Source organism: Homo sapiens, chromosome 1 (assembly GCF_000001405.40).
Source record: "Homo sapiens chromosome 1, GRCh38.p14 Primary Assembly".
Taxonomy (NCBI): domain Eukaryota; kingdom Metazoa; phylum Chordata; class Mammalia; order Primates; family Hominidae; genus Homo; species Homo sapiens.
Window position 1 is genome coordinate 212,502,730 of NC_000001.11, and position 12,053 is coordinate 212,514,782.

Sequence of the window (12,053 nt, forward strand, 5' to 3'; positions counted from 1 at the left end):
ATGAGGTGAGCATGCCAGAAACCAGGTCACAGAAATTAAAGAAATCCTACAGGGTCTAGATACATACATACATACATATGCATCTGTGTGTGTGTGTGTGTGTGTGTGTGTGTGTGTGTGTGTGTGTGTGTTAATCAGGTAGAATGACACATAAAGAAGCTCTATCTTGGCTTTTAGATTCAGTCTCTACTCTCTTCACACACTGAGACCACAGCCGGGCACATGTAGGAACATGCCCTCCTTCTAGAGATCTTGTGGGGACACACTGAGGAAATGTGTATTCATGGCAGAAACTTCTCTGAGGAACCCTGAGTTTCTTTTTCTTACTTCCAGCCTCCTGCCCCATGTCCACTGAGGTCTGGCCTATGGAATGTGGGGAGAGGGAGGTGGCCACTCCCGGGCCTGTCCCACTCACAGTAGCTTCCCGTGTGGTTCTCGGCCTTTTCCTCCTGTCTGGCCATAGGATGTCATTGCTCAGAGTATGGAAAAGGGGAGTGTCTTCTCAGGCTGGGCTCCTGAATGACAGTGTTTTCTCCCCATAACCAGGGTCAGCTACGCCATGCAGTGAACTACATCAGATTTTACTGTGGGCCAGGCGCGGTGGCTCACGCCTGTAATCCCAGCACTTTGGGAGGCCAAAGTGGGTGGATCATTTGAGGTCAGGAGTTCAAGACCAGCCTGGCCAACATGGTGAAACCCTGCCTCTACTAAAAATACAAAAATTAGCTGGGCATGGTGGCAGGAGCCTGTAGTCCCAGTGACTTGGGAGGCTGAGGCAGGACAATTGTTTGAACCCAGGAGGTGGAGGTTGCAGTGAGCTGAGACTGTGCCACTGCACTCCAAACTGAGCAACAGAGCAAGACTCCGTATCAAAAAAAAATTTTTTTTTAATTGTAGTAAGCCACTGTAGTTTGGGGGTTTAAGCATTGTGTCACCTCAGAGAATATGGATGTTACCTCAGAGAGTATGGGGAAGCTTTTTGAGAACTACAAGACAGTATAGGACTATAAGGTATTTTAGACTGCTCCCATGTTTAAATCCCAGGTTTTGCAGTCTGGGAAGGCTGTTTGGAAGGGGCAGTGGGGCAGGTGACACCAGCTTGGGTTGTGCTAGGACCAGCACTCCCCTGGGGTGACACCCACTGGCTGTGTGAGATCAGCTATGTCTCAGAGCCCAGGGACCACTCAGAATAAGCCCCTCCTTTATTATGCAGATGAGCTCACAGAGAGATAGGGAGCCTGAGGTTATGTGGTGCCTTCCCTGGTACCATGTGAGGACTGGCAACACGGATCCTTGTCATGGTGAAAAAATGACTGTGGAAGACGGTTATAGCAATGGCTCCCAATCAAGACGCCTCCTTGTTTCCACATCATTGTGTAGTCCCTGCCCACACTGGCTCTGGGCTTGACCATGAGATTTGTTTTGGCCAATGGAACATCAGCACATGTGATACAAGCAGAGGTTTGACAGGCACTGGTGCATCGGGGCTTGCTCCCTCTTGCTGCTGGGACCCCTTCTGCTATCACAGGAAGAAGTCTGGGCTAGTCTACTGGAAGGTGAGACCAGGGGGAGCAAAGACAAGTCAGGCCTGCTGAGTTCCACTAGTTCCCAGTTATTCTCAACCAAAGGACAACTTGGTCCTCCAGGGAAGATCTGGTAATGACTGGAGATATTTTTGGCTGTCCTACTGGCATCTAGTGGGCAGAGGTCAGAGATGCTGCTACACATCTTATAATGTGCGGGACAGTCCCCCCATAACAAAGAGTTACCCGGTCCCAAATGTCAGCAGTGCTGAGGTTGAAAAACCTGCCCATGAGCAACCAACCCACAGCTGACCTCCCAGCTGACTGCAGCCCTGTGAGTGAACCCAGGTGAGACAAACAGAAACTGCCCAGCTGATGCCACCCTAAGAATTATGAGTAATAAAAGAATGAGTGTTCTAAGCCGTTAAATTTTGGGGTGGATTTTTATGCAGTAAAGGCTGATACAGAACATTTGGCTAATGGGTCCATCACTGGGAATTTCCATACATGTTCTCACTCTTCATAACTGGGAATGTTGAGGTGGCTGGTCTGTGTGCATGCACACTCCATCCTGTGGATATTTACCTGTTTGGTGGTGTTTGTTACTCCTCCCAACCTCCTACTATTGTGGGCCAGTTACTGTACCAAGTACTCTGTAAGTATTAATTCATTTAATCCTCATGACAACCCCAAGAGGGATTTTTCCCATTTTACAAATGAGAAACTGAAGCTCAGAATAACTCACTTGTATGAATGGCCACATGAGGGTTTAGCTGTCTCTTACTTTTAATCAGTGAAGTTGACCTATCCGTGAAGAGGCAGATGCTCAGGGTCACATGTTTCCTAAATAGGGCCAGAATTTGGACGTCTAGCCCAGAGTCCATGCTACCTCCTGTCAGTGATGCTTCTTGGCCTCACTTTGTGCTCAGCCCTTTCATGGACTGGCTGCCCCTTCCCTACCCCAGTTGCTGCCCACTGGGAAGGTTTGGCCATTACTGCAGCTCCCAGGTGGCCACAGGTGTATCTCTCTTGTGATACATGTGCTTTGAAACAGCACTATCTAGAAGGGTGTGTGAGCCATGGTTCATAGGGTCAGACTCCAGCCTGGAAGCCCAGCTCCATTGCTATTCACGGTGGGATCTTGAGCAAGATCCTTAATGTCTCTGAGCCTGAGTTTCCTTGCTGGCAAAATGGGGCCAGTGTTACAATCAGGGTAGCACAGGACAAAGTCCCAGACACCTGTGATACAAGGCAAACAAAGGGCACCGGGTCCCTGCCCTCAGGGAACTTACAGTCTGATGTGGAAGAGAAACATGAAACAAGCACAAGAAGGGTGATAAGGGGCCAACCAAGTGTCAAGGTCGACCCGACAGGGTATGTGTAAGGATTAAATAGACAGTGATTGTGAATGCATTTAAAAATTGTCCAGTGGGGTGTGCTTGGAAGGTATCAGTGGAACGTAAATTCCAGGTTGCAGTGATTGATCTCTCTCTCTCTCTCTTTTTTTTTCAAGTGTTCATATGTAAAATTAAAAAAAAATTATTTCCATAGGTTACTGGGCAACAGGTGGTGTTCGGTTACATGAATCAGTTCTTTGGTGGTGATTTGTGAGATTTTGGTGCACCCATCACCCGAGCAGTATACACGCACCCAGTTTTGTAGGTTTTTTTTGTTTTTTTTTTTTAGATGGAGTCCCACTCTGTCTCCCAGGCTGGAGTGCAGTGGCACGATCTCAGCTCACTGCAACCTCCACTTCTCAAGTTCAAGTGATTCTCCTGCCTCAGCTTCCCAAGTATCTGAGATTACAGGCACGCGCCACCATGCCCAGCTATTTTTTGTATTTTTAGTAGAGACGGGGATTCACCATGTTGGCCAGGCTGTCTTGAACTCCTCAGGTCATCCGCCTGCCTCAGCCTCCCAAAGTGCTGGGATTATAGGTGTGAGCCACCATGGCCAGCCCCCAGTTTGTATTCTTTTATCCCTCATCCCCTTCCCAACCTTTCCCCTGAGTCCCCAAAATCCATTGTGTCATTCTTATACCTTTGCATCCTCATAGCTTAACTCCCACTTAGATTAAGAACATAAGATGTTTGGTTTTTCCATTTCTGAGTTACTTCCCTGAGAATAATAGTCTGCAATCTCATCTAGGTTGCTGCAAATACCATTAATTCATTCCTTTATATTGCAGTGGTTGATTTCTAAGTCCATGGCTGCGACCTTGCTCTCCTCTCTGGGGGCCTAGGCAGTAAAACAGAAAGAGGGGTACTAGTAAAGACCTCCAGAAAATAAAAAGTAGCTTTTCTTTCAGAAAAGAGTGATAACCCCTGTGATTTAAGCATTTCTCTCACTCTCTCTGATTATAATCGTGCTGCTGCCATTAAAGCGTAGCAGTTACCAGCCCAGAGCCTACAGTGGGATGCTTGGGTTCTAGTTCCAGCAGGGACCTTGGTCAAGTGCTTATCTTCTCTGGACCCCAGTTTCTCATCTGTCAAGTAGGGAGAATAATTGACCCTATCTCATGAGGTCATTGGGAGGATTAAAGGAGTTAAAGAATAGAACAGCACATTGCATGCATTGTTATTGAAGCATTAGCTGTTTTCTATTATTCTGCCTTGCTGCACACCCCAACCCTCAGCCTCTCTGAATTCTAAGAATTCTGTCTGGAAGAGGAGTGACATGTTCCCTGCTGTTAAGGAATCTCTCAGGCTGACTGTCATTTGTTCCTTTTAGGGGCCCTGGAACTTTCCCTCCTACCTTCCCCACTCTCAGGATTCAGCACCTCCTACTTTATTATTGCTATTATTAATCAAAACTTCAAACGGAATGTATAATCCTGGTACAAAAATTGAAACATACAGATAAATAAAAAGAAATTAAAATCAGCCCCAATACCACCATCCAGAAAGAACTATGGGTAACATTTTAAAGTATATCTCTTTCTAGACATTTCCCCATTCAATACATTTGTTTAAATATACATGTACATATATTAAGGTCAAGGGGTCAGCACTCTCAGCCTTAGGCCTTCCATAGAGGCCTGTCCCTTGGGTGGGGCATAAGACCACTGTTGGCTTCTCTGAGCCCAGGACCTTGGAAGGTCAAGGGCAGGACCTTTCCGCCTGACTCCACTGTGCTCCCCAGCCCCCAGCTGAGCCCGGGGCTGCCTTCCTCCAGCTTTGCACGAAATGCCCATCTTGGAGCTGCTTTTGATCCATCCCCTGGAGGTGGCTTATTGTATGGGATGATTGTGTCAGAAGGAAAACCCTCCAGCATGTCCCTGGGCATGAATTGGGCCTTTATGTGAAAAGCCACTCTCTGCCGAATCCCAGCTCCTCATAATCCACTCTGAAAGCTGACTATGACATCACCGTTGACTGGTATGGAGGGTCTGGGTGGGAGCCTGCAGAACATGTGCTGCTTAACAGCCAGAGAACCTACTGACAAATGCAAGGGCGACATTCAACCAGCCTTTCTCGGCTCCTCCCAAATGCTGGACAGTGAAATTTTGCTTTCATTTTATACCCTGGAATTTCTCAAAAATGTTAAAAATCACAATGACTATAATTTACTAAACACATATCCTGTGCCAGGCCCTTAACAGTCATCGTGTTCATTATATTTCATCTACACCTTATATTTCACTTATATTTCATCTTCACCTCCATTTTACAAGGCAGATAAGGAAACTGAGGCTCAGCAAGACCAGTGGCTTGACCCAGGCTCTGCCACCAATAAGGGTTGCAGAGTGGGACTTGAATCCAGGCAATGACTCTCAGGCCCATGCCCTTTATTTTTGCATAAAAATTAATGTTATATTTTATTAAGGTGACCCATACCCATAGTTAAAAATCAAATAGGGCTAAAAGGCAGAGGGAAAAAAAAACAGCAGCTGACAGCCTTGACTCTTTCCCTCCTCTGCCCTGCTACTCTGAAGCAGCCACTTTCCACTAGGCAGATGTCTTTTTCTGTCTTTACTTTAGATTTCTTTCTTTTCTTTTTTTTTTTTTTTTTTTTGATGGAGTCTCGCTCTGTCGCCCAAATTGGAGTGCAGTGGCATGATCTTGGCTCGCTGCAACCTCTGCCTCCCAGGTTCAAGCGATTCTCCTGCCTCAGCCTCCCGAGTACCTGGGATTACAGGCACCTGCCACCATGCCCAGCTAATTTTCGTATTTTTAGTAGAGATGGGGTTTCACCATGTTGGCCAGGCTGGTCTTGAACTCCTGACCTCTGGTGATCCATCTGCCTCGGCCTCCCAAAATGCTGGGATTACAGGTGTGGGCCACCGTGCCTGGCCCTACTTTAGATTTCAAAATGTTCAGCTAAGTGCCATTTCTCAATTTTTTTTCTGGAATAAGTAAGACACCATCACTCCCTTTCCCATTTCTTAATAAAGGGGAAAGGATTCCCCTTTATAAAGGATTGCAATTTCCCCCAATTCCTTTATTGGGTCTATCAAAGGTATGCAATAAAATGTCCCACTACTTATACATGCCATATAATTTACCAGTTCTTCCCATCGTCACTTGGCGAGACTTCCCTCCCCAGTTCTCTGTCCTACTGTTTCAGGCTGAGCTGGCTACTCTCTCCTTGCCCTGAGATTTTACTTATCTTTTGCCACCCATGTTCCTGGATGCCTTGCCTTCCTCTTTCATGATTTTGAGTTTTTGAGTCCTGGATTCCAGAAATGGTTTTATTTTCCCTTCACATTTGATTGATCATTTGGCTGGATATAAAATTCTGGGTTGAATTTTATTATCTGGGTTTAATCTGAGTTGAAAATCGTTTTCCTTCAGAATTTTGAAGGCATTTCTCCACTGTGTTCTGTTTAGTGCTTCTGATGAGAAGTTAGATCCCTTCCTGCTTTCATTCCTTTGTCTATTAGGTGTGTTTCTCTTTCTAGGACTTTCTGGATGTTCTCTTGATCATTTGGTTCTAAAATTTGATACTGATGTGCTCTGGTGTGAACCTTTTTTTTTTTTAAACTCCCTGTACTGGGCAGCTTCTATTAAATTTTTTTGCTTTAGTTATATTTTAAGCTTCAAAGAGCTTTCTTCTCTGACTGTTCCTTTTATGTTGTATTTTTCCAAGATTACTAATTTATAGCTTCCTTTTTGTTTTTTAAAGGTTTTTCTACTTACTGTATATTCTTGGTGTCTGATTCTTCTGAGCCTTTTTTTTTTCTGGTTTTTTTTTTTTTTTTTGAGACGAAGGCTCACTCTTGCTCCCCAGGCTGGAGTGCAATGGCGCAATCTCGGCTCACTGCAACCTCCGCCTCCCGGGTTCAAGCGATTCTCCTGCCTCAGCCTCCCGAGTAGCTGGGATTACAGGCGCCTGCCACCACGGCTGGCTAATTTTTGTATTTTAAGTAGAGATGGGGTTTCACCATGTTGGCCAGGCTGGTCTCGAACTCCTGACCTCAGGTGATCTGCCTGCCTCGGCCTCCCAAAGTGCTAGGATTACAGGTGTGAGCCACCGCGCTCGGCCTTTCTGTTTCTTTTGACCTGTCTCTTTCATTTCAAATATCCGGTGATCCTTCATATTTAAGAGTGAGGAAGTCTTGTAAGTTAGTGAGCATCATAGTAGGGTGACCAGATGGTTAGAAGGCTGTTTTACTGAGAATCTTCAAGTAAAGTTTTGTGGAGATCTTTTCTAAGAGTGGAGGATGTGGGTGAAGAAGCTCAATCTATCTAGAGGAGAATCTTCCAATTACCTGCCTGGAAAGGCAGTGACACCCAGCTGCTAGTGTTCTGGGAACAGCCAAAGAATCTGAGAGTCCATAGTTTATATATATTTTAAAATTACTCTCCCATTTTTCAAACTCCTGCCTCACTGTCATGCTGTGCTGTGACTAGTGTCTTGAGTTCCAGACCTGACTCAGAGCATCTCCAGGTCAACTTCTCCAGATAATACATTTCTGGCCTCTTCCATGCAAAAAGAGAGGAGGGGGTGGCCTCCTATTGCTTAGCCCTGAGTCTCACCCCTGCTTTCTGTGGTACCTGGTGCCTTTAAGCATCAACTTTTTGGAGATTCTGTGGAGCACCTTGGTTCACTTCTCATCACACACTTCTCTTGTATGCATGTGGGGTGTGACTTAGCTCTGTGTGGAGACTGCTCCTCTACCTACCTGCCCATCTATAAAAATGTTTGGAAGTCTTTCCTCCCCAGTGGTTATCTTCTTATCTCTTCATCCTTTTGACCCAATGGCTTTGTAATTCCATTATTAGTGGTTTTTTTTTTTTTTTTTTTTTTTTGCAGGGGGGTGAATGAGGTGGGATTTGGAAGGATGTTATCCACTGTTACATAATATATCACGCCAAACTTCATAGCTTAAAGCAACAATAATTTATGATTTCTCATGATTCTAGGAACTGACTGGGTGACCCCTTTGCTGGTTTCACCTGAGTTCACTCATACTGCTGCATTCAGTTATCATTGGCTGGCCTGGAAAATACAAGTTGGTGCTAGCTGTTGGTTGGGGTTCCTCAGTTCTCCCCGCTTGGTCCCTCATCTTCTAATATGCTAGACTAGCTTATTTAAAGGGTGGTCTCAGGGCAATGTTCCAAAAAGTTAAAGGCAACATCACTTCCACTGAATTCTGTTTGTCAAAGCAAGTCAGATCAGATTTAAGACTTTTTATCTTGATGGGAGGACTGACAAAATCACACTGTAAAGAGGCTTGTTTCAGGAATGGGAGAAATTATTGCAGCTATCTTTATGAAAAATCTATAAGAAAGTGAGAAAAAATACATGCAGAATGCTAATCCACCACGTTTAGCAGGAGGTCTTCCCATGCTGTTTGTATTGCCCCACACCACCATGGTCTCTGTCCTGTAGGCTCATATAAGACCTTTTATAGAATTTTGTTAACCAAACCCTCATGGCTTTAGGTAGTTACAAATACATATACCATATCCTCATGCTGGGGAAAGAAGCAGAACACACTAATTATCACTAAAGGATTTGGAATTGGAGAAACTTGGGTTCAAGTCCCAGTGTCACTACTTATTAGCCCTATTACCCTGGGTAAGTAATCTCTCTGAGCCTCAACTTCTTTAGCTATAAAATGTGGTTTTGCAGCTGGGCACAATGGCTCACACCTGTAATCCCAGCATTTTGGGAGGCTGAGGTAGGTGGATCACTTGAGCCCAGGAGTTTGAGACCAGCCTGGGAAACATGGCAAAACCCCATCTCTACTAAAAATACAAAAATTTAGCTGGGCATGGTGGTGTGCCCCTGTAGTCCCAGCTACTCAGGAGGCTCAGATGGGAGGATCTATTGAGCCTAGGAGGTTGAGGCTGCAGTGAGCTGCCATCAAGCCACTATCTCTAGCCTGGGTGACAGACGGAAGCCCCGTCTCAAAAAAAAAAAGTGGTTTTGCATATAATAAATGAATTAACATACGTAAAACGCATACTTAGCACACTGTCTGGCACTGGCAAAGGGATCAAATAACAGTAGCATCATTAAGTGTTTTTTGGGGAACAAATTCACATCTCTAATAATATAACCACTGGAGATGGAATTTGAGAAAGAGTCTAATTTAAATCCAGGCTCCGCCACATAATACCTTACAGGACTGCTGTGAGGATCAAAGGAATTCAAGCAGAAAATGCACCTAGAAGCATGCCTGGCACATCACAAATGCTCAGGACATGCTTTGTGTGCATCCCTGATTTCTTAGGTCACGGCACCAAGCATGAGCTCGGCTCCAACAGGGCCATTGTGATGAATAGCACCTGTCAGGTGTGGGGTGCGTTTTCTCCCACAGGGACCAGCCGCAGTGTGAAAAGCCATTTTGTCTCTTCTTTGGGGTTCTTTTACTCTTTCTCACACTCTCAGGTGATCAGCTCCCAGGCGTGCCTGTCTCTACATCTACAGCTCTGGTTATTAACCTGTGTCCCGTTGGTGAGCCTCATGGGGCTAAGATTAAAGAAGGAGTCAACAGGATCTGAGAAAGAGCCAGAGGGGCTCTCCTGGCTCTTTCTGGTTTTTTGTTTGTTTGTTTGTTTTGTTTTTTGTTTTTTTCTGGTCACCCGCAATTCCGGAAGGTGTTTTCTTACACTGGTTCTTCTCATACCGTCAGGGAGGGGAGTGTGCTTCACAGTGAGTGACATTACAGACCCCATTTCACTGCCTAGCCACCTGCTTTTGCAACCTGCCTGGCCATCAGCCATTTGGAAAATGTGGATAACTAGAAAGGCAACCACCAGTGAAGGGAGCTGGTTCTCACCTTGTCCATGCTACAGATAGTTAAGTGTCAGGCAGTCTGTGTGTCCTGAGCCCTGTGTGAATACTCCATCCTAACCTCTGGGTTTGGTTATATCAAAGAAAACCCTCATACTGCCCCTGGGAGCAGATGGGGAAGGATCAGATTTGTTTGGCGAGTTACAGTGACATCTGTCTAAGGAGATCACCCGCAATTCTGGAAGGTGTTTTCTTATGCTGGTTCTTCTCATACAGTCACATTTATGACTAACTTCTAAGGCTGGAGATTTTTCTCATAAACATAGTGTTTTGTAGTTTTTAAGGAAAAAAAAAAATCCCAGCAGAACTGCAACATCTAAGCTAAATCTTCTTGCCCCTGAAGTTTAGTTATTTGTCATTGTCCTCATTTGTGACTCAAAGGCAGAGAGAAGAGGGTTCACCAAAACACTTTGAAATATCTGTTGGCTGACCCAGCTGGGGAGGGCTGAGCAAATGTGGTGAAGAGGAGCAGAAGAGTGGCCTGGAGCCTCACTTGGGCATCCTGGGACACTCAGTGGCAAGCAGAAAGGGAATTCTGGAGCCCGTGGCGCGTAGTGTGAGGTCTAAGCAGATCCACTGCAGGCACCACCTCCTCCCCTACTGGAGGCTGCCTGCCCTCCCCAACTGTCCTCACCTACCTGCGTCACTGGCCACCACTGACCCTCTGGTGGGGAGGTAGCCAGACCCAAGGCAGCTGGGGCCAGGGTTCCCCAGTTAGCTGATGCCCCTCACCACAGGGATTCAGTGACTCACTCTGAATGAAGCATCATAAATTTCTTCCTAATAGCACACTTGTCACTGAACCATTCCAACAATTTGGCAGGGCAAGCCATTTGGCTCAAGGCAGCAGAGGTAATCCTCTGTTTATAAAGTGTCTCCTGCTGAGCAATGCAGAGGGGTGAGGACCCCTTGGTAGTCGATGTCACAACATCCATTTTGAGCTGGCATGATCATGCCCACTTTACAGATGAGGGAGTGGAGTCCCAGGGAGATCACATGGGAAGAATTAGTGACTCAGCCCCTCAAGCCCAGCTGGGACAGACCCTGGCACCTCACCCCCAGCGGGCAGCACCGTGAAGTGGCTGGCAGCGGGGGCCTTGGCAGAAGACAGCTAGGGTTTGAATCCTGGTGCTGGGTGACCTCAGACAGGTTCCTTAGTCTCTCTAGGGTCTCCTTCCCTCATGTGCACAAGGAGGATAATGCTTAACTCAAGGGGCTTGCGTAGAGATTCAGCACAGTGCCGGCGCCCAGCAAGCGCCCCTGAGTGGCTGTTTGCTGGTGTACAGTCTCCAGGTAACCGCCACGTGCCTCCGGGTAGTTCCCTCAGCATCGCTACTGGGCGCCCTGTGTCCTTCCTGTGGCACTCTATCCTCTCATTGTTCTTCTGAGTAAAGAAAGGTGGCCATCGACATTATATTATTTAATACTCCCAGGGGGCATTTGGGGAGGTATTATTAGCCCTAGTTGACAGGGGTGGGAACTGAGGCTGAGAGTTTGGGTGACTTCTCCAAGACCCCCCAGGGGCGTGCCAGAGCCAGGGTCAGACTCGGAATTCATTCACCAACACAACAGTTGCCAGGGGAAGCCCATGGTCGGTGACCAGCTGCCACCAGGGAAGTTCCGGATGCGGCTAAGTATTTTTGTCGCTGCATTCTTCCCAGGCAGCTCACTCCCTGGACTCTGGACAGTTGCCAAGGAGGTGTGAAGGGAAGGCAGGAGGAGGACTTCCTGTGGAGGGCGCAGGCCAGGCAGTGAGGCAGCCGAGCTGTCGCTTCCGGAGCTGACATTGCACATCTCGCTCATGCATGCGACACTGCTGCAGACGAGGCTCAGTGCCGTCCCCGTTTTCCAGAGGCAAAGGAGTCACAGAGAGCTCCCGTCCCTTGCCCCGCCTGCCCTGGCGCCCACCTGTGCTGCTGCCCTACTGCCTTCCATCAGGGAGGATAAAGCCGACCGGGGCAGTTTGGAAACCACATTCAGACCAAATGACCCTTCCCCACCACCGCGGGCGCCGCAGCCCTCTCTACCTGCAGCAGCCTCTGGGCCTCTCACCAAGTAGGCCGCAGCCTCCTTGAGCTTCTGCGTTGGGGGCGGTTGGGGGTCAGGGAGGGGCCTCTCCTGCTGTCGCCACGCATCCTGGGGACACAGAGGTGGCATCAGTCTGGGCAGCGTCTTCAAGACTCCACACCTCAACGCTACCTCTCTGTGCCGGCCATGAAGCCGGGACTTCGTTAGAGGACCCGGCGGGTCCTGGAGCCGGCAAGGACTTCGCAGTGCTCTGCCCGC

General features: G+C 47.3%; 1 long non-coding RNA gene across 1 annotated transcript, besides 1 other annotated feature; it reads right to left on the reverse strand.

Moving 5' to 3' along the window:
• Positions 1 to 3,672: 3,672 nt before the first annotated feature.
• Positions 3,673 to 12,053, reverse strand: LOC105372908 (uncharacterized). The gene is made up of 2 exons (XR_922579.1): positions 11,795 to 12,053; positions 3,673 to 3,761 (listed from the first exon to the last, which is right to left on the reverse strand). It is a non-coding gene; the product is annotated as an uncharacterized LOC105372908 (long non-coding RNA).
• Positions 11,312 to 12,039: an enhancer, noted in NCBI's record as "H3K27ac-H3K4me1 hESC enhancer chr1:212687383-212688110 (GRCh37/hg19 assembly coordinates)". NCBI's record gives its function as "activates a minimal SCP1, AML or CMV promoter by ChIP-STARR-seq in naive H9 embryonic stem cells {active_cell/tissue: H9 hESC(naive)}" and the evidence as "EXISTENCE:reporter gene assay evidence [ECO:0000049][PMID:30033119]".